The 22,888-nt window shown below is 46.2% G+C and overlaps 1 long non-coding RNA gene across 6 annotated transcripts in view, besides 1 other annotated feature; it reads left to right on the top strand.

Annotated features, from left to right (window-relative positions):
- Positions 1-20,824, top strand: part of LOC101927511 (uncharacterized) — a 37,635-nt gene extending 16,811 nt beyond the window's left edge. For 2 of the 6 annotated variants that reach the window (XR_007066296.1, XR_007066293.1), the window contains exons 3-4: positions 16,947-17,178; positions 20,511-20,824. This is a non-coding gene — a long non-coding RNA (uncharacterized LOC101927511). Of the gene's footprint in view, positions 1-3,046; positions 3,999-12,391; positions 12,523-16,946; positions 17,641-20,510 lie in introns of those variants that run through there. The other 4 variants (XR_243835.5, XR_007066294.1, XR_001753359.2 and 1 more) reach the window with 4 other exon arrangements.
- Positions 22,264-22,663: a silencer, noted in NCBI's record as "silent region_9301". NCBI's record gives its function as "represses an Ori minimal core promoter by ATAC-STARR-seq in GM12878 lymphoblastoid cells {active_cell/tissue: GM12878}" and the evidence as "EXISTENCE:reporter gene assay evidence [ECO:0000049][PMID:35858748]".

The following is a 22,888-nucleotide window of genomic DNA, read 5'->3' as shown; positions in this document are numbered from 1 at the left end:
CCATATTGGCCAGGCTAGTCTCAAACTCTTGACCTCAAGTGATCTGCCCGCCTCGGCTTCCCAAAATGCTGAGATTACAGGCATGAGCCACCATGCCTGGCCTTATAATGTTGAGTCTTTAGGCCTCAGAAGCAGGCCTCGGGAAACAGAATCTCTCTGAATTTCTCCTGCCCAAGGCGGGACTCGATTCTGATTGTGGGTCATAAGACCCTCATTGCAGACAGGGTCCTGTCCCACACCCTAGAGGAAGGAATGCTCCGCGGAGAGGGCAAGAAAGACCTGAACAGCTGAGCCTTGCTGGGTTTCTCAGTCTGTTACTATTAGATCATTCCCCTTTTGTCCAATCGCATTTCTGCACAGTTGTCCTCAATCACACCTATTCAATAATGTCTCCATAAAAGGCTCAAGAGGACTGGGTTCTGAGAGTTTCCAGATCGCTGAACATGTGGTGGTTCCTGAAGGGTGGTGGCCCTGGGGAGGGCATGGAAGCTCCACGTCCCTTCCCACATGCCTTGCCCTATGCAGCTCTTCATCTGTATCCTTTGCAATATCCTTTACTATAAACCAGTGAACATAAGGAAAGTGTTTCCTTGAGTTTTGTGAGCCCTCCTAACAAATCAATTAAACCCACGGAGGGGGTTGTGGGAACCCCAATTCATATCTGGTCTGCCAGAAGCACAGGTTACAGCCTGGGGCTTTTGATTGACATCAGAAGTGGGACAGTCCTGGGGACCGAGGCCTCAACCTGTGGGATCTGATGCTGTCTCCAGGTACAGAGTGTCAGAACTGAGTTGAATTGGAGGACACCCAGGGGGTGTCCATGCAGAACTACTTGCTTGCTTGGTGTGTGGGGAATCCGCCTCCCCACATTTGCTCACAGAAGACTTCTGTGATGATTGTTCTTGAGCAAGAGAATCGGAAAAGCACTTGGAACAAATGTGTTTTTTCCACCCAGAGACTGTTTACAAATCACCTGAGCGTGCAGTGACTTTATGCTCATGGCTTATAAATTCCATCCACCAATCACTGATAGGCTGGTCATTTAAATCACAGGACTGAATGCAGCTTGGGGGAGGATGTCTCCATCTGTGCCCCTCTCCCACATCCCAAATAGCTGTCAGTGTCAGGAGTGGTACAAGGTGAGAGGGGGAAGGGGGAGGAGGACAGGAGTAGAAATGAGGTGCTTCAGAATTTCCCCATCGTAACCAGAGGGCAGTTTGGTAGCAGGGGAAGTGTGGGTATCTAGAATCAGACTCCTTTATCAGGGCATGGTGGCACACGCCTGTAGTCCCAGCTACTTGGGAGGCTGAGGTGGGAGGATTGCTTGAGCCTAGGAAATAGAGGCTACAGTGACTGTGATCACACCACTGCACTCCAGCCTGGAAGACAGAGTGAGACCCTGTCTCAAAAACAACAACAAATTAAAAAAAAAACAGAATTAGACTCTTGCATGTTTATGTAAAACTAATGCAGATCATGATTATTTTCATAATGCATTTACTGGGTCTTGGAATTATGGCATCTATTAATTACAGAGCATGATCTAACAGAACAATCACAGCTCCATTTTCTCTCCCCTCCCTCCCTCCCTTCCTTCCTTGACAAAGTCTTGCTCTGTTGCCCAGGCTGGAGTGCAGTGGCGTGATCTTGGCTCACTGCAATCTCTGCCTCCCGGGTTCAAGCAATTCTCCTGCCTCAGCTTCCCGAGTAGCTGGGAATAATCACGTGCCACCATGCCCGGCTAATTTTTTTGTATTTTCAGTAGAGATGGGGTATCACCATGTTGGCCAGGTTGGTCTCAAACTCCTGACCTCAAGTGATCCGCCTGCCTCAGCCTCCCAAAGTGCTAGGATTACAGGTGTGAGCCACCATGCCTGGCCTATATCATTATTATTTCTGCTTTGTGAATGCCTCACAGATTCCTCCCAATATTCATGGAAGTAAATTCCTTAACGGTCTCAGAAGGGCCGTGCAAGTCAATGAGTCACTTGCAGATTATCATCTGGAAATGATCCGGTGTCTTAGAACTTTCACTACTGGCCGGGCGCAGTGGCTCACGCCTGTAATCCCAGCACTTTGGGAGGCTGAGGCGTGTGGATCACCTAAGGTTAGGAGTTCGAGACCAGCTTGACCAACATGGTGAAACTCCATCTCTACTAAAAATACAAAAAATTAGCCAGGCATGGTGGCGCATGTCTGTAATCCCAGCTACTCAGGAGGCTGAGACAGGAGAATTGCTTGAACCCAGGAGTCGGAGTTTGCAGTGAGCCAAGCTCATGCCACTGCACTCCAGCCTGGGCAACAGGCGAGACTCTGTCTCAAAATAAAAAAAAAACTTTCACCACAGGGAGTTTTTCTTTTAGTGATTCTTGGTAGGCATTTGAACTGGTCCTTTCACTTTGAGATTCTTTTCCTTTGCCCCTCTGATCAAGTCAGCACACACCTTCTCCAGGGATTTTACCTTGCTGCTCCTTAGAGTGATTCTAATTGGTGAATTGGCACCTCTGGCTCCATGGGTGTGTTTTAGTATCTTTAAAATCCGTGGCTGCCAGGCACGGTGGTTCACACCTGTAATCCCAGCACTTTGGGAGGCCGAGGTGGGCAGATCACCTGAGGTCGGGAGTTTGAGACCAGCCTGGCCAACATGGAGAAACCCCGTCTCTACTAAAAATACAAAATTAGCCAGATGTGGTGGCGGGCGTCTGTAATCCCAGCTACTCGGGAGGCTAAGGCAGGAGAATTGCTTGAACCCGGGAGGCGGAGCTTGCAGTGAGCCGAGATCGCGCCATTGCACTCCAGCCTGGGCAACATAGTGAGACTCCGTCTCAAAAAAAGAAAAAAGAAATCTGTGGCTGCTGCGCGGTTTCCTGGCCGACTTGTTTCTGTGCGAGAGCGAACAGTGGTGAGTGAGGAGCAGGAGAGGGCAGACCACAGCCCACACTGCCCTAAACGGCATCTTCCTCCAAGAGCTCCCTTTCTATTTTGTCTCCATTGCCCTGAGAAGGTAACTTTGGTTACGGTCTTTTGTTTGTTTTTTTGTTTTTAGATGGAGTTTGGCTCTTGTCGCCCAGGCTGGAGTGCAATGGTGCGATCTCAGCTCACCGCAACCTCCACCTTCCGGGTTCACGTGATTCTCCTGCTTCAGCCTCCCAAGTAGCTGGGATTACAGGTGCCCACCATCTCGCCCGGCTAATTTTTTATTTTTAGTAGAAACGGCAGTTTCACTATGTTGGTCAGGCTGGTCTCGAACTCCCAACCTCAGGTGATCCGCCTGCCTCGGCCTCCCAAAGTGCTGGGATTACAGGCGTGAGCCACGGCGCCCAGCCTGATTATGGTCGTTTAATCAGCCCTGCAATCCCCACTCCATAATGCCACCCTGCCAAGCTTCCTGAGCTGCTATCTTTAATGTTAGATGCTGGGGCAGGCAGAATAGTGCCCCTCAGATAGTCATGTCCAACTCCCCAGGCCCTGCCAATGTGTTACCTTTCATGGCAAAGGGGAATCAGGGTTGTAGATGGAACTGATATTGCTGTGGAATAACAAGAAAGATATTTGGTCGTTGTCCCTGGTTTCTGGCACAAAGCTCTAAACCCTTGGAATTTTGAGCAATAGAGTGTTAAGAGCCTCTTTTGTTTTAGTGAGGCAACTCTTGTACTTAGCTTCAGGGTGGGAGCTGGCTGCCAGAAAGACCAAGCTTGATTAGAAGATCAGCATTTCCTGCACCCCCTCCCCCAACCTCCAGGGAAGGGAGAGTGGCTGGAGATTGAGCTGATCACCAGTGGCCACAGTCAAACCTATGGACTGAAGCCTCCATAGAAGCCCCTAAATGATGGGGTTCAGGGAGCTTCCAAGTTGGCAAACACATCCTCATCCCAGAGGGTGGTGCACCCCATCTTGACTGAGACAGTGGCTTCTGCACTCGGGACTTACCTTGTCCTGGGTACTTCTTCATCTGGTTGTTCATTTGTACTCTATAATAAACGGTAAGAGTAAGCACAGCTTTTCCTGAGTTCTGTGAGTCATTCTAGCAAATTATTTAACCTTGGGGTAATGAGGTAGTTGAAACCTCTTTGTAGGAACTTTCCTTTGTAGGTCAATCAGCAGAAGTTAGGCTAACCTGGGAACCCAGTCCTTTCTTTGGTGTCTAAGGACAGTCTTGTGTGACTGTGGAGTCACACAATAACTCCAGGTAGTGTCAGAAAGGAATTGAATTGTAGGACACCAAGCTGGCATCAGAGAGTTGGAGAAGTGGTGTTGGAAAAGACACGGTTGATGTCAAGAGGAAGAAAAAACCCTCAGTTGTTTTTTTTTTCTTTTTGAGATGGAGTTTCACTCTTGTTTCCCAGGCTGGAGTGCAATGGCACGATTTCAGCTCTCTGCAACCTCTGTCCCCCAAGTTCAAGCAATTCTCCTGCCTCAGCCTCCCGAGTAGCTGGGATTACAGGTGCCCACCACCACGCCTGGCTAATTTTTTGTATTTTTAGTAGAGATGGGGTTACACCATGTTGGCCAGGCTGGTCTCAAACTCCAGACCTCAGGTGATCCACCCGCCTTGGCCTCCCAAAGTGCTGGGATTACAGGCGTGAGCCACCATGCCCAGCCAAAAAAAACCCTCAGTTGCTAATTAGCTGATCTTAAAAGTGGGACATGATCCAGATGGACACAGTGTAATCACATAAATCCTTAAACGTGGAAGAGGGAGGCAGAAGAGGATATCAGAGTGGTGCCATCTGGAAAGAACTCAACCACTGTTGCTGTGTTCGAACATGAAGGAAGGGACCAAGAACCAAGGAATGTGGGCAGCCTCTAGATGCTGAGAAAGGTGAGGAAATGGAGTCTCTCCTAGGGCTTCCAGAAAGAACACGGTCCTGTCGACCTCTTTATTTTAGTCCAGTAAGACCTGTGTTGGGCTTCCAATCTTCAGCATTAATAAATTTGTGCTTTTTCAATAATAAATTGGTGCTTTTTCAAACGACTATGTTTATTTTGTATTATTATCATTTTTTGAGACAGGGTCTCACTCTGTTGTGCAGGCTAGAGTGCGGCAGCACGATCATAGCTCACTCCAGCCTCCACCCGCTGGGCTAAAACCATCCTCCTGCCTCAGCCTGCCGGGGCCATCATGCCCTGCCCAAAGCTACTGTGTTTACCAATAGTTTCTTAGAGCAGCAATAGGGAACGAATACAGGTTCAGATTCAATTTACATCTTTTTCTTTGTGGTGGGGGAGATGGTGACAGGGCAGGAGGATCGCCGTCTTGGACAAGCACTGTCCTTCTAAAGTCCCCCTTGATCAAAAACCACCTAAATCCAAAGGGCATCAGCCTAATGGCTAAGGTCAGCATGGCCATAAACCACAAATGACAACTCTGGCCAGAAACATTCCAACCACAAGATAAACACCTCCCCGACCAGAGACATGCCATCCCCGAGATAACCTCCCCACAGGCCAGAGAGATGTCAGCCTCAAGATAACCTCCCGTCCAACTAGAGACGTTCCAACCCCAAAATAAACTTCTCCCTCATGCAGAAACATTCTGAGCCTGTGATAAGCTCCCTCACCCTAAAACCAATAAATACTCTTAGTCTATAAGAGAAAGCGCTCCTGACCAAAAATGGCCAGAAGCCCCTCTCAAGTTTATTTTCCAAAATAAACCTGTCTTTGACTGTTGAGCTGCTTTTCATGTTTCTTTCCTCTTTAATTCTTACAGATGGAGTCTCGCTCTGTTGCCCCGTCTGGAGTGCAGTGGCGTGATCTCAGCTCATGGCAACTTCCACCTCCCGGGTTCAAGTGATTCTCCTGCCTCAGCCTCCCAAGTAGCTGGGATTACAGGCGTGTGCCACCATGCCTGGCTAATTTTTGTATTTTTAGTAGAGACAAGGTTTCGCCATGTTGGTCAGGCTGGTCTCGAACTCCTGCCCTCAAGTGATCCACCCGCCTCACCTCCCAAAGTGCTGGGATTACAGGAGTGAGCCACTGCCCCCAGCCACCATTTACATCTTGATCTTATTCATGTTTCATTTATAGTCATGCATTGCTTAACCATGGGGATAAGTTCTGGGAAGTGCCTCATTAGGCAAACATCACAGAGTGTACTTACACAACCTAGATGGTACAGCTGACTATACACCCAGGCTATACGATATAGCCTATTACTCCTCGGCTACAAACCTGCCCAGCACGTGGCTGTCCTGAATACTGCAGGCTGTTGAAACACAATGGTCAGTACTTGTGTATCTAAACAGAAAAGGTTCAATAAAAATACAGTATAAAAGAGAAGCCGGGCTCGGTGGCTCACAACTGTAATCCCAGCACTTTGGGAGGCTGAGGTGGGTGGATCACCTGAGGTTGGGAGTTCAAGACCAGCCTGACCAACATGGAGAAACCCCGTCTCTACTAAAAATACAAAATTAGCTGGGTGTGGTGGCACATGCCTGTAATCCCAGCTATTCAGGAGGCTGAGGCAGGAGAATCGCTTGAACCCGGGAGGCGGAGGTTGCGGTGAGCGAGATTGCGCCATTGCACTCCGGCCTGGGCAACAAGAGCAAAACTCTGTCTCAAAAATAAATAAATAAATAAATAAAGGAGAAAATATGCTACCCCCTGTATAGGCATTTACCATAAATGGAGCTTGCAGGACTGGAAGTTGCTCTTGAGTCAGTGAGTGAGTGGTGGGTGAAGGTGAAGGCCTAGAACATCACTATACACTACTGTAGACTTTATAAACACTGTACACTTAAGCTATACTAAATTTCCTAAGTCTTTTAAAAGAATAAATTAAACTTAGCTTACAATAACTTTAACTTAGAAGACTTTTTAATTTTTAAAAGCTTTTTGAGTAATTTGTAATAACACAGCTTAAACCACAAACACATTGTACAGCTGAACCAAACATATCTTTTTCTTTCTCTTTCTTTCTTTCTTTCTTTCCTTCTTTCTTTCTTTCTTTCTTTTTTTTTTTTTTGAGACAGTCTTGTTTTATTCCCCAGGCTAGAGTGCATTGGTGTGATCATAGCTCATGACAACCTCAAAATCCCGGGCTCAGGTGATCCTCCTGCCTCAGTCTCCAGAGTAGCTGGGACTACAGGTATATAACATCATGCCTGGCTAATCAAAAATATTTTCTTTCTTGGCCAGGCGTGGTGGCTCAAGCCTGTAATCCCAGCACTTTGGGAGGCCTAGGCGGGCAGATCACAAGGTTGGGAGATCGAGAGCATCCTGGCTAACACGGTGAAACCCCGTCTCTACTAAAAATACAAAAAAAAACAAAACAAAACAATTAGCTGGGCGTGGTGGCGGGTACTTGTGGTCCCAGCTACTCGGGAGGCTGAGGCAGGAGAATGGCACAAACTCAGGAGGTGGAGCTTGTAGTGAGTGGAGATTGCGCCACTGCACTCCAGCCTGGGTGACTGAGCAAGACTCTGTCTCAAAAAATAAATAAATAAATAAATAAATAAATAAATAAATAAATATATATATATATATATATATAACTTCTTTATATTCTTATTCTATAAGCTTTTTTTTCTATTTAAATTTTTTTTTCTTTTTACCTTTCAGATGTTTTATTTAAAAATAAGACACAAACATCTACCTTAGCCTAGGCCTACACAGGCTCAGGATCATCAATATCACTGATTTTCATCTCCACATCTTGTCTCACTATAGGGTCTTCAGGGACAGTAACACACATGGAGCTGTCACCTCCTGTGACAACAAGATAACAATGCTTTCTGAAGCACCTCCTGCAGGAACCTGTCTGAGGCTGTTCACTTTTGTTTATAAGCAGAATGAGTATATACTCTAATGTAATGATAAGGAAAATAGCATGGTAAATACATAAACCAGCGAAAGTCATTCGCTGTCATTATCAAGTATGATGTACCGCACATAATTGCATGTACTGGACTTTTACATGACTGGCCGTGAAGCAGGTGTGTTTATACCAGCACCGCCACAAACACATGAGCAATGCGTTGCTATACAACTTTACTATGGCACTGACATCACTAGACAATAGGGATTTTTCATTTCCATTATAATCTTATGGGACTGCTTGTTTGTATGTGCAATCCATCATTGACCAAATCGTTATTTGATGCATGACTGTATTTTGTGTCTTGCTTTCCTGCTAGAGTAATGCTTCTTAAGCATGCATTTACAGTTGACTCTCATGATTCATAAATTTGGACTTGACAAATCTGCCTACTCGCCAAAATTCACATGTAACCCCAAAGTCAATACTCACAGTGCTTTTGAGGTAATTCACAGGCATGCATGAGTGACACAAGATTTGAGTTGCCCAAATGCACGTTCCCAGCTGAGGTGGAACAAGGCGATGCTCGGCCTTCTTGTTTCGGCTAACGCTGTGAACAAGCTTCCTTAGCATGGTCTAGTTAGTGTCATTTTGCCACATTTTTGTGCTTCCTGTTGATTTTGCTGTTGAAAAGGCCCCAAGCACAGTGTCTTCGTGCTGGCTAGTGTTCCTAAGAGCAAGAAGGCTGTGATGTGCCTTACAGAGAAAATATGTGTGTTAGATAAGCTTGGTTTAGGCATGAGTTTTAGGGCTGTTGGCTGTTATTAATGTAAATATAAGATGTCTTTAGGCCGGGAGCAGTGGCTTACGCCTGTAATCCCAGCACTCTGGGAGGCCAAGGCGAGCGGATCACGAGGTCAGGAGATCGAGACCATCCTGGCTAACACGGTGAAACCCCATCTCTACTAAAAATACAAAAAACTAGCCAGGCGTGGTGGCAGGCACCTTTAGTCCCAGCTACTCGGGAGGCTGAGGCAGGAGAGTGGCGGGAACCCGGGAGGCGGAGCTTGCAGTGAGCCGAGATCGCACCACTGCACTCCAGCCTGAGAGACAGAGCGAGACTCCACCTCAAAAAAAAAAAAAAAAAAAAAAAAAAGATGTCTTTAAACAGAAACACAAATAAAACAAGGTTATGGGCTGGGCGTGGTGGCTCACACCTGTAATCCCAGTACTTTGGGAGGCTGAGGCGGGCAGATCACCTGGGGTCAGGAGTTTGCGACCAGCCTGGCCAACATGGTGAGACTCTGTCTCTACTAAAAATACAAAAATTAGCCGGGCATGGTGGTGGGCGCCTGTAGTCCCAGCTACTTGGGAGGCTGAGGCAGGAGAATCACTTGAACCCGGGAGGTGGAGGTTGCAGTGAGCCAAGATCGCACCACTACACTCCAGCCTGGGTAACAGAGCAAGACTCCGTCTCAAAACAAAACAGAAACCCAAGGTTATGCATTGATTGGTTGATGAAAACGTCATGGTCAGAGGCTTGCAGGAACCTAACCCTATAATTCCTCCAGGGTCAAAGGTTTTAGTATTTGCTAATTCAGTGTTTGCAGCAACTTTCAGAACAAAACTACCATGAGAAATGATTGTATTTTGTATTCCCCAGTACAAGCTAACACAATGTTAGCACATAGAAAATGCTTAATAACTGCCTGCTGATTCATTGTGAAAAAGACAGAGCTGAGAATGTAACTTTTCTTCCAGTGAAGTTACATGATATGTGTGGGGTTTTTTTTCTTTTTCTTTTCTTTTTTTTTTTGAGATGGAGTCTCATTCTGTTGCCCAGGTTGGAGTGGAGTGGCGTGATCTCGGCTCACTGCAACCTTCACCTCCCAGGTTCAAGCGATTCTCCTGCCTCAGCCTCCCGAGTAGCTGGAATTACAGGGCATGTGCCACCACGCCCTGCTAATTTTGTGACATGTGTTTTGTAGTTTGCATAGTGTGTAATGGTTTTTACTTGGTCTGTGTAAATATCTTCCCAAATCTGATTCAACTAAGATTGAGAATAAAATACTCCCTTATATGTTGTTCCCTAATAATTGTATAGCTTATACAAGCTGAATTTGTATGAATAAAATTAGAACCTGTCGGCCAGGCGCGGTGGCTCATGCCTGTAATCCCAGCACTTTGGGAGGCTGAGGAGGGTGGATCACGAGGTCAGGAAATCAAGACCATCTTGGCTAACACAGTGAAACCCCGTCTCTACTAAAAATACAAAAATTAGCTGGGCGTGATGGCGGCGCCTATAGTCCCAGCTACTCAGGAGGCTGAGGCAGGAGAACGGCGTGAACCTGGGAGGCGGAGCTTGCAGTGAGCCGAGATCGCACCACTGCACTCCAGCCTGGGTGACAGAGCGAGACTCTGTCTCAAGAAAAACAAAAAAAAGAAGAAATTAGAACCCGTCTACATTAAAAGATCAAGGGCGCTCAACTTTCTCATTTTGGGTTTGGAGAATGTCTCCTGTCATCTAGCTCAGTAATTTTCAAATTTTTCTTTTATATAACACTAAAGGAATGCTGAAAAACTATGTACTGCCCCACCCATTCTAAGTTGTCCACTAACATTTATTTTCTTTCTTTTTCTTTTTTTTTTTGAGACAGGGTCTCACTCTGTCGCCCCAGCTGTAGTGCAGTAATGCAATCTCAGCATCTCAGCTCACTGTAGCCTCACCCTCCGGGGCTCAAGCAACCCCCCCACCTCAGCCTCTCAAGTAGCTAGGGTTACAGGAGCACTCCACCACACCTGGCTAATTAAAACAATTTTTTTTTGTAGAGATGGGGTCTCACTTTGTTGCCCAGGCTGGTCTGGATGTATGGAATTCTTAGGATGGCAGTGATTGACCCAGCATACTGAGGAATATAATTTTGGGTTTTATTATTTGATGGGCGTATTTCTGGTGGTGTGGATGTATAATAATTGGGAAATCTGCAAAATCCTTAGTGAATTGTGGGCACTTATGTTTTCTTATTTAGAAATTTATTCTTTTTGTCATTTCCAGAATGTATTAATGGTATGATCTTCCGTGAGTGACAAAGGAACTGGAAGCCAGGGACCCCCGCATAGGATGTACACGCTGCTCACACAGGAGTAAGCACAGTGCCTGGCTTACTTACAGCATCACTGTCTTTGTGATCTCACGATTCATCTCAGAGCAGGGCGGATCATCTCAGATGGGGTGGTGCAAATCTGCAGGCAGCTAGGCAGACTAGCCCTCAGATGAGACATGGCACAGGCAGGATTCGAAGAGGGGACTCTCTACCTGCCAGAACTGAGGCTGACAATTTGTAAAAAGATAGTATATCTTGGCAGGATTGACATATTACAGTGTGGTGGCCTGTTCTGTGGCAGCTGGGAGGAAGAGCAGCTTCTTTTTTGTTTTTTAATTTGGGAAGTTAAAGTATTTCCTAGTTGACCTTAAATCCTGAAACAGGCCGGCTGCGGTGGCTCACACCTGTAATCCTAGCACTTTGGGAGGCTGAGGCAGGTGGATCACCTGATGTCGGGAGTTCGAGACCAGCCTGGCCAACATGATGAAACCCCATCTCTACTAAAAATACAAAAATTGACTGGGCATGGTGGCACATGCCTGCAATCCCAGCTACTCAGTTGGCTGAGGCAGGAGAATCGCTTGAACCTGGGAGGCGGAGGTTGCGGTGAGACAAGATTGCGCCATTGCACTCCAGCCTGGGAGACAGAGTGAGACTCCATCTCAAAAAACAGACAAACAAAAATCCTGAAACAGGTCAGCCCTTCTTAGATTCTGTCCATCTCAAGCCTGTAGGGCACACCCTGGTGTGATGAGTAGTTCTATCTTCTCTCTTTCTGTACTACACGCCTTCCCTCTATAGTACATGGAAATGCTACTCTTCTGGCTGGGTGAGAACTGAATCATTCCTCTGCTCTTGCCTAGAGCCCGGGGAGAAGTCCTGGCAGCAGGTCCCTGGCTAGGATATTGATATAGAGTCACAGAAACACTGGTGAGAAAAAGAAACACAAGTCATTCTTTTTCTGCTGCTGGCAGAAAAAAAAAAAAGAACATGCATTAAAATTCACAGGACTTGGGCTAGGTGCAATGGCTCATAACTGCAATCCTAGGAATTTGGGAGGCTGAGGCAGGAGGATTGCTTGATGCCAGGAGTTTGAGACCAGCCTGGACAACATAGCAAGATCCCAACTCTGCCAAAAAAAAAAAAAAAAAAAAAGGAGAGAAAGAAAAAAGAAAATTCACAGGACTTCTAAGATAGTCATACAAATGTCAAATTTAAGTAAAAATAATGAAGTAGGGATTGTGTTTCTACATTGTGAGTTGGGCAAAATGTGTGGAATTTTTATTGTTTTGTGTAACATTTAGCACATGTAAGTCATATATGTATATATAGGATGTGCCCACTGTGGGGTGTGTGTTGAGTCTAGGTGTTGGGGGACATTTGTGCTTGACATTTGCTAAAAGTCAAGTGACTGGTGGGGTGGAGAGGCCAGGGCCACAGTAGTTAGTATGCTGTGACAAAGAGTGGTGGAGTGGTCATCTCAAGTCTTCACTGCCATAGCTCACCCGCTCCCCAAACCCTACTGCTGCAGGAGGTCACACGCCACCTGCGGATGGAGGAGACACACGCAGACAAGACAGGCCCCCCGCCACTGTTGGCACACAGGACACCCACCCAGCCTATGGTCCTGTCTGTGGTTGGACAACATAATCAGAATAACAGGTAATCCTTACTGAGCACTAACTATGTGGCAGGTACACGTCCAACAGTTTATATGTAGTAAAGTGTTTAATTCTTACAGCAATATTGTGAAGTAGGTACTGCTATTTCGTTTATATTTCTTACTTTTTTCCTTTTATTTTTTTTATTTTTTATTTATTTATTTTTTTGAGAGGGAGTCTTGCTCTGTCACCCAGGCTGGAGTGCAGTGGCGTAATCTCGGCTCACTGCAAGCTCCGCCTCCTGGGTTCACGCGATTCTCCTGCCTCAGCCTCCAGAGTAGCTGGGACTACAGGCGCCCACCACTGCGCCCTACTAATTTTTTGTAATTTTAGTAGAGGCGGGTTTTCACCGTGTTAGCCAGGATGGGCTCGATCTCCTGACCTCGTGATCCACCCGCCTCAGCCTCCCAAAGTGCTGGGATTACAGGCGTGAGCCACCGTGCCCGGCCTACTTTTTTCCTTTTATTTTTAATTATTTTCTGAAGTGTTACTTAATTTCTAAGTTTTCCTAACTTAGATTTATGTTATTACTTCATATGTTCTATTTACTCCCTTCAGGTCTTGAGCTTGTTCTGAAACTGTAGGCTACAGCTTTTATCTGTTTCGTGGTCATGTCTCTGTGGTATGCTTTCATTGTGTGTGCAAATGTCTTCTTCCTCCCTTCCTCCCCTCTTCCCTTCCTCCCTTCCTCTCTCTCTCTCTCTTTCTCTCTCTCTTTCTCTCTTTCTCTTTCTTTCGGTCTCGCTCTGTTGCCCAGGCTGGAAGTGCAGTGGCGCAATCATAGCTCATAGCACCCTCAACCTCCCAGGCTCAAAGTATCCTCCCACCTCAGCCTCCTGAGTAGCTGGAACTACAGGCACATGCCACCATACCTGGCTGATTTTTGATTTTTTATTTTTTGTAGAGATGAGATTGCTGGGATTACAGGCGTGAGCCACCGCACCTGGCCTTCATTGTTTTTCTGATGATAACTTTGTACATCTTTGATGTCATTTCTTCTCAAGTGCTCCTCCTTAGGCAGGTTACTTCTCCTTAACACCTAGAAGGAGGCAGAGTTCCGGAGAGCTTTTGCAACTTCACCTAGTGTCTTAGTTCTTTTGGGCTCCTTTAACAAAATGCCATAAACCGGGTGGCTTATACACCACAGAAATATATTTTTCACAGTTCTGGAGGCTGGGGAGTCCAAGATCAAGACTGGACTTGACAAATACAGACATTGGTAGATTCAGTGTCTCGTGAGGTCCTGCTTCCTGGTCCACACAGTGCCGTCCTGCTGTGTCCTCAGGTGGCGGTGGTAGAAAGGTTAGGGAGCTCTCTGGGGCCTCTTTCATAAGGGCACTAATCCCATTTGTAAGGGCTCCACCACCATCACATAATCACCTCCCAAAAGCCCTTCTTCCTAATACCATCACATTGGTGATGAGATATCCACACGTGAATCGGGAGGAGTGAACACAAACATCAGACCATAGCACCTCACAAACTTTTCTGTTGTTTTAATTAGTGTGCTAAAATAGGGAAGCTTGCCTTAGGAAATTTCCCTTTTCTCACCTTTTTCTGCACTTTCTCTTTCTTACATTTCTCTAGTCTACATCATGCAAAATTCTCATTCCATCTTAAGAGTCTCCCCTCTGTGAGGGGTCTTAATCCCGGAAGGAAGGATTGCTCTAGGCTTTCAGGTCTCACCATGGGCCCCTTGCACTCACTCACTACTGCATGGGGCGAAATCCTTCCTGTTTTCAGCCGCTGTTCTTGCCACACTTTCCTGGGGGAACCTGATGCTATTTTTGGATTCTCCTCTCTTCATGTCCACCACATGCTTTGTCATGCCCTTGTTTTTATCTGTGCATTTGCTGACTTCACTCAGGTCTTGCAGCTGTCTGTGGTTCCTCCTCACGCCTCTTACATTTGGGGTTTGTGGGGATACCTTGTCAACTAGTTTTGTTCTAAACCTTGTTTAGGGATTTTTACTTTTGCCATTCAGTTGCTCGATCCATAGCACCTAATAGATAAATGGCTCTTCTTCCATGTTTATTAGAAAAAAAAAAGGAAAATTTTAATGGGTCATTTTCAATGATTTGAACTATGGACTCTGTCTTGAACTAAGCACATGAGCGCAAAATAAACACAGTAACTCTCCCAAGGAAGTTCTAATAACCAAGCTGCTTAAAAGGAATTACCCTGAAAAGTAACTAAATCAAGGCTCCCTAAACCAGAATCTCTGACAACCACGTAGCACATCTTACTGTTTTCCACTCATTCCATACATTTTGATTGGGAATCAGTGATGTGTTGGATTCTACTAAATGCTATCGTGGTTATAAATAAGTATGAAGCTTGGCCCTTCCCTCAAAGAGCTTCAAATCTGTCTGGGATTGTATTAGACACAGGAGGTAGGAAGATAATTTGTAAATTATAATGATATAAAATGTATCAATCATTTAACATCTCAGTGCAGATTGACTATAATGTATCATGTGATAACCATCCCATCCCCCATAGTTCTCTGTAATTTATTTATTTATTTGAGACAGGGTCTCACTCTGTTGCCCAGGCTGTAGTGCAGTGGCAAGATCTCAGCTCACTGAAGCCTTGACCTCCTGGGCTCAAGCAATCCTCCCACCTCAGCCTCTCAGGTAGCTGGACTACAGGAGCATGCCACAAACCCCGGCTAATTTTTTTTTTTTTTTTTGTATTTTTTGTAGAGACAGGTTTTTTTCCATGTTTTCCAGGCTGGTCTTGAACTCCTGGGCTTAAAGGATCCTCCCACCTCAGCCTCCCAAAGTGCTGGGATTACAGGTGTGAGTCACTGTGGCCAGCCTTCTGTGATCTGTAAGATCACAGTGCAAGCACTACTCAAAGGGAAAGAAAATAGATGGAATAGGTAATACTTTTTTTTTTTTTTTTTTTGAGATGGAGTCTCACACTATCACTCGGGTTGGAGTGCAGTGGTGTGATCTCGGCTCACTGCAACCTCTGCCTCCCGAGTTCAAGCGATTCTCTTGCCTCAGCCTCCCGAGTAGCTGGGATTATAGGCTCCCGCCAACATGCCCAACTAATTTTTTGTATTTTTAATAGAGATGGGGGTTTCACCATGTTGGCCAGGCTGGTCTCAAACTCCTGACCTCATGATTCACCCGCCTTGGCCTCCCAAAGTGCTGGGATTACAGGTGTAAGCCACCACGCCCAGCCTGGAGTAGTTTATACTTTAAACCTCAGGCATCATAATCTAAAACAGGGTCAGAAGGCCAGGCTTGGTGGCTCACGCCTGTAATCCCAGTACTTTTGGAGGCCGAGGTGGGTGGATCACCTGAGGTCAGGGGTTCAAGACCAGCCTGGCCAACATGGTGAAACCCCATGTCTCCTAAAAATACAGAAATTAGCATGGTGGTGCACGACTGTAGTACCAGTTACTTGGGAGGCTGAGGCAGGATAATCACTTGAACCTGGGAGGCAGAGGTTGCAGTGAGCTGAGATTGCGCCACTGCACTCCAGCCTGGGTGACAGAGCAAGACTCTGTCTCAAAACAAACAAACAAACAAACAGGATACAGAAAATACAGAAAACATTTATCTTTTTTTTTTTTTTTTTTTTTTGAGATGGAGTCTTGCTCTGTCGCCCATGCTAGAGTGCAATGGCGCGATCTCGGCTCACTGCAACCTCCGCCTCCCAGGTTCACGTGATTCTCCTCCATCAGCCTCCCGAGTAGCTGGGATTACAGGCATGTGCCACCACGCCCAGCTAATATTTTTAGTAGAGATGGGGTTTCACCATGTTGGCCAGTGTGGTCTAGAACTGCTGACCTCAAGTGATCCACCTGCCTCAGCCTCCCAAAGTGTTGGGATTACAGGCGTGAGCCACAGGGCCTGGCCAGAAAACATTTATCTTAAGAAAAATATTGCAGCTGGGCATGGTGGCTCATGCCTGTAATCCCAGTACTTTGGGAGGCCGAGGTGGGAGGATCACCTGAGGTCAGGAATTCGTGGGCCAGTCTGGCCAACATGGCAAAACCCCGTCTCTACTAAAAAATACAAAAATTTGCCAGGCATGGTGGCACATGCCTGTAGTCCCAGGTACTCGGGAGACTGAGGCAGGAGAATTGCTTGAACCCAGGAGGCAGACGTTGCAGTGAGCTGAGATTGGGCTACTGCACCCCAGCCTGGGTGACGGAGGGAGACTCAGTCTCAAAAAATAAAATAAAAGCAGAAGGAGAGCTCACTATCAAAAGGAAACTTCTAATAAACAATTTTATAAATAAAAGAATTCTTTTTTTTTTGACACAGTGTCTCACTCTATAGCCTAAGCTGGCAAAAAGTGAAGGGATATCACAGATGTAATGAAGGCCCCTAATGAGTTGGTATTAAGCCATTCAAAAGAGAGATGATCTTGGGTGAGTCTGATCTAATCACCTGCATCTGTTAACAGGGTCCAGATGTCAGGGATGGAAGTTGGAGAAAGATGAGGCAGCAGCAGACACTTTCTCCTGTTGGCCTTAAAGAAGCAACCGCCTGTGCTGGGAGAGGGTCACTGGGCTGAGATTGGTAGGTGGCTCTGGGAGCTGAGGGCCTAAACCTATGACCACAAGGAACTGAATTCATCCCAAAGCCAGAGAGGTGGAAGACGACTCAGAAGATGCAGATGCCAATGCCACATCCTGGTGAGCAGCTGGATTGCAGCTGGACCCGCTAAACCAAGCCCCAGACTCCTGACCAGTGGGAGCTGCAAGATAATGAATATAGTTTTCTTGTTGTTTTTTGTTTTCTTTTTAATAAGCAATATGACTTTATTTAGTTACTTTGGAAACAAAAACCCCCAAATAATGCCTGAACCCAAAGGTACATAAAAATGGCCCAAAATAGTTTAAAATAGATTTGAACATCATTTGTAGTTTCTTCCTCATAACATGAGCGCTTTCAGCTGGACAGTAGATTACAAAGCATCTCCGATCATGTTAAGGCAGATCATCAATCTGTGGCTGCATCTGTAACTCCTGCTGGGAAAATAATCCTGTTGGAGTTGGGGGCTCTTCCCAGTTGTTTGGCCAGTTGGCCCAGGAAGGGGCAGTCCTGGAGCTGACGGGTGGGTGAGGAGCCAGGCCCCACCTGTTTTTTGTTTTCTTACGACAGAGTCTTCCTCTGTTGCTCAGGCTGGAGTGCAGTGGCGCTATCTCGGCTCACTGTAACCTCCACCTCCTGGGTTCAAGCGATTCTCCTGCCTCAGCTTCCAGGAGAGCTGAGACTACAGGTGTGTGTCATTACACTGGGCTAATTTTTTATTACTTTTTTTAAGCAGTGATGGTGTTTTGCCATGTTGGGTTTTGAGCTCCTGACCTTAGGTGACCCATCTACCTCGGCCTCCCAAAGTATTGGGAGTTTCCAAGGCTCCCTTAGTGTAAGCCAGGATTTTTTAAATACAAGGCGGCAAAGATACCACAATGTTACCACAACACAACAATGTATATCACAACCATGTATACCACTATGTATACCACAATGTTATTCACTGTAGCTGCTCCCACAGAAAAGTAGTTTACAAGACAGTGAAGTACAATATGAAACTGAAGATGTTTAGAGAGGAAACAGTGATTTAAAGAGTGCTCTGTAGAATTAAAACCAGTTAGCCCGGCACATTGGGGAACACCTCTGGTCCCAGTTACTTAGGAGGCTAAGATGGGAGGATCACTTAAACCTCGGAGTTTGAGGCCACCCCGGGAACACAATGAAACCTTGTCTCAAGAAACAAAACCAAATACCCCAAGTAGGCCGGGTGTGGTGGCTCAAGCCTGTAATCCTAGCACTTTACGAGGCTGAGGCAGACAGATCACTTGAGGTCAGGAGTTTGTGAACAGCCTTGCCAACATGGGTAAACCCTGTCTCTAAAAAAAAAAAAAAAAAAAAAAGCCAGGTATGGTGACACACACTTGTAATCCCAGCTACCCCGGATGCTGAGGCATGAGAATCCCTTAAACCCAGGAGGTGGAGGTTGCAGTGAGCTGAGATCATGCCACTGCATTCCAGCCTGGGAGACAGAACCAGATTTGGTCTCAAAAAAAAAAAAATTGGTTAATGGCATTAAAAGTCAACTAATAAAATTAGTTAAAACTATGGACTTTAATAAATGTTATCTGTTTTAGCAATTTTTTTTTTTGAGACGGAATTTCACTCTTGTTGCCCAGGCTGGAGTGCAATGGCGCGATATCAGCTCACTGCAACCTCTGCCTCCAGAGTTCAAGTGATTCTCCTGCCTCTTCCTCTGGCTCCGGAGCAGCTAGGATTACAGGCGCCCACCACTACGCCTGGCTAATTTTTTTGTATTCTTTGTAGAGATGGGGTTTCACCATGTTGGCCAGGCTGGCCTCAAACTCCTGACCTCCAGTGATCTGCCCGCCTTGGCCTCCCAAAGTGCTAGGATTACAGGTGTGCACCACCGCGCCCGGACTGTTTTAGCAAATTTGACAAAATGTGGGTAATTTATCCATATAATAGAAAATGCCTAATATTCATTAATTGAAAATTAGAAATTACATTAAAATATTCGGTACTGTTTTTTAAACTATTCTACTTTTACATATTTGGGAAGATTATTTTCTTTAACGATTCTGTTTTATATATTTTATTAATTGTGTTATCTGTTTCCTGAAATTAATATATGCTAGAAGGAAAATTACCTTTATAAATGTCAGCATCTTAAAAGTCATGTCAATATGCAGATTTTGATAACAATCGGTATAGATAAACTAATTCTAAAGTTAGGAATGGGGCCAGGCGCGGTGGCTCAGACCTGTAATCCCAGCACTTTGGGAGGCCGAGGTGGGCGGATCACTTGAGGTTAGGAGTTCGAGACCAGCCTGGCCAACATGGCAAAACCCTGTCTCTATTAAAAATGCAAAAATTAGCTGGGTGCGGTGGCGGGTGCCTGTAATCCCGGCCACTCAGGAAGCTGAGGCAGGAGCATGGCTTGAACCCGGGAAGCAGAGGTTGCAGTGAGCCAAGATGAGCCACTGCACTCTAGTCTGGGTGACAAAGTAAGACTCTGTCTCAAAAATAAATAAATAAATAAAGTCAGGAATAGGTCATGCCATGCTTTATTATATCCGTGATGCTTTATTATATCTGTGACTTTGAAAATTAACATTATTTTACTAACCATACTCAACAATGCTTTTTAAAAAGGGATTTATGACATATAATTCTTTTGGAAATTAAAATGCATGGTATAATTCTATGGTTGGTCAGATTACACTTCAGGTGTAAATGAATTACCTTAAAAATGTATTTCTTAGGTTTATGTTTTATGGACTTAATAAATATTTTATTACAATTTTTTTTTTTTTTAGACAGAATCTCACTCCGTCACCCAGGCTGGAGTGCAGTGGCACGATCTCGGCTCACTGCAACCTCCACCTCCTGGGTTCAAGTGATTCTCCTGCCTCAGCCTCCCGAGTAGCCGGGAATACAGACGCATGCCACCGCTCCTGGCTAATTTCTGTATTTTTAGTAGAGCCGTGGTTTCACCATATTGGCCAGGCTGATCTCGAACTCCTGACATTGTGATCTGCCCTCCTTGGCCTCCCAAAGTGCTGGGATTACAGGCGTAAGCCACCGCACCCAGCAGAAAAAAATCTTAAACTTACAAAAACATAGAGAGAAATATAGCAAATGCTTGTATTAGTTTTCTATGGCTGCTGTAACAAATTACTACCACTTTGGTGACCTAAAACAACCCAAATTTACTACCGTACAAGTCCTGTAGGTCAGGAGCCCACACGGGGCTCACTGGGCTAAAACTCAGGTGATGGCAGGACACCTGAGCATCTGCAGGATCATTCATTCCTTGCCTTTTCCACCTTGAGAGGCCACCTGTGGCATTCCTGGGCTTGTGGCCCCTTCCTCCATCTCCGGAGTCAGCACCAGCGGCCACATCCTTGTCAGGTTGAATCTCTCTGAACTTCCTTCCAGTGTTACGTCTCTTTCCAATTCTCATTTGCAGGTAAAGGTTCTCGGAAGGACCCAATGAGACTGGGCTCACTGGGATAATCCAGGATCATCTCCCATCTCAAGGTTCTTCATCGCATACTTGCAAAGCCCCTTTTGCCATGTCAGGTAACTTGTTCACAGGTTTGAAGATTAGAATGTGGGCATGTTTGGGGGGCATAATTAGGCCTAGCACAATGCCCATGTACCCATCTCCTTGCTTAAACATTAAACACTTTGCCAATATTGTTTCTCCTATCTCTCACTTTGTTCTCTAAAAAACTCCAGGAATTTGTTATTAAATTTTATTAAAGCAAATCCCAGAAATAATATAATTTGCCTGTAAATATGTTAATATGTTTCTCTGAGGCCTTTAAAAATCATAGCCACTATGGTATTATCGTAATAAAATTACCTGAAGTTATTTAATGTCACCTAACATTCAGTCCATGTTTAAGTTTCCCAATTTTTTTTTTTTTTTTTGAGATGGAGTCTCACTCTGTCGCCCAGGCTGGAGTGCAGTGGCGTGATCTGGGCTCACTGCAAGCTCTGCCTCCCGGGTTCACACCATTCTCCTGCCTCAACCTCCCGAGTAGCTGGGACTACAGGCACCTGCCACTACACCCGGCTAATTTTTTTTTTTTTTTTTTTTTTTTTAGTAGAGACGGGGTTTCACCGTGTTAGCCAGGATGGTCTTGATCTCCTGACCTCCTGATCTGCCCGCCTCGGCCTCCCAAAGTGCTGGCATTACAGGCAAGAACCACCGCGCCTGGCCGCCAATGTTTTTAAAAATGCCATTTATTTATGTAAAAGTTTGTTTGTCTTAATCATGACCCAAACAAGGTCCACAAATTGCATTTGGCTAATGTGTCTCTCAAGGTCCCCCCACCCTCTTTTTTTTAAAGACATGGGGGGTCTAGCTGTGTTGCCCAGCCTGGAGTGCAGTGGCTATTCACAGCTGTGATCATAGCTCACTACAGCCTTGAACTCTGGCCTTAAGCAATCCTCCCACTTCAGCCTCTGAACATTTATTTTTGAAAAAAGAAATTGGGTCATTTGGTTTGTAGAATTTCCCACATTCTGGATTTGGCAGATTACTTCCTGGTGGTGTAATCTAATGGGTTCATTTGGCCCCTGTATTTCCTTTAGCCTGTGATTAGTGTTATAAGCTTAACTGGTTCTAGTTTCCCTTTCTTTGTTAGTCAGAGAGAATACTTTAGAGGTGAGGCTGCAAACAATCCACGGTGCCATATTAGTGTGTTTATGGAATCAGGCTGTCCCAGTTTCGATTATGTCAAAGTTGTTCACCTGATCATATCTGAAGATATTACAATATTCTTAATAATAATAACCATTTACCGCATACTTATTGTATACCAGGCATTTTGCTGGCTGTGTCCTATATAATTCCTCAAACCACATCTCCGTGTATTAACCACACTCATAGATTTGTGAAAATGTACCAGAATTGACTGGTTGGAAGGCTCTATGTGGATTATTACTCTGAGCATGTTTACTTCTTGAAATATGAAATAATGGCTCCTGCTTTTAATATACAGGCTTATTTTGAGGATTTTTTGAACGGATGTGAGAGCACTTAGAAAACTGGAACGCGCCGCGCTACACCATTAAAATTAGTAACATCAGTGAGAAAAAAGCAAGTGCATAATAAATATTATAGTTATCCTGATTGTCTCCTTTATTCATCACACACTTCCTAAGCACATCTCTGGAGGGCACTTTCCAAGGCTCCGGGGGAGGAGAGGAAAGAGGCGCAGCCAGGCCTGGTGGGTCCCGGAGGGGCAGCGCGGCGCGGGAGGGGAACGGGGAGGCACGGCCTGGCTGCCACCGCGCGCGGAACCCGGGAGCGGCTCCGGGGCTGTCAGCTGCCCGCCTGGCTCCTCCAAGGCCTGGAGCTCGGACGCGGGCTCTGGGGGCTTCTGGGGCGCGGAAGCGGGCTCGCGGGGAGCAGTGGCCGCCCCCGGCCGCCGCGGTGGCTGTGCTCAGAAGCCGGCCCTGGCGTCAGGAGGCCGGGCGCGCGGCGCGGGGCGCGAGTTCCCCTGCCCGCCTGTGCGCCCCGCAACGGGCCTTTCCTGGGCCCTAACGACAGCTCGCCCGTGCTTCGCCCTCGCAGCTCTCCTGTGTCCCCAAAATGCCTTTCCCGCGTCCCCCGCCCTTCAGCGGTGACTGCCCAGGGGACTCTGTAACGCGACACTCAGACTGCCGAGCCTGCCAGGCACTTCGCGGAGGGCGCTAGGGGCCGGGACGCGGCCGCCGAGCGTAGGTTCCGGCCTTTACTCCGAGTTGCGCACGGAGCCCCAGCTGCGGTTGTCCGCTCTGGGGATCACAGGCCGCGGAGACCCGGGAGCCACCCGCCGGGCCCCTTCAGACGAC

This window comes from Homo sapiens, chromosome 18 (assembly GCF_000001405.40).
Source record: "Homo sapiens chromosome 18, GRCh38.p14 Primary Assembly".
Lineage (NCBI taxonomy): Eukaryota > Metazoa > Chordata > Mammalia > Primates > Hominidae > Homo > Homo sapiens.
Note: the sequence above shows the minus strand (reverse complement) of the source record. Positions and strands in the feature narration are given on the sequence as shown.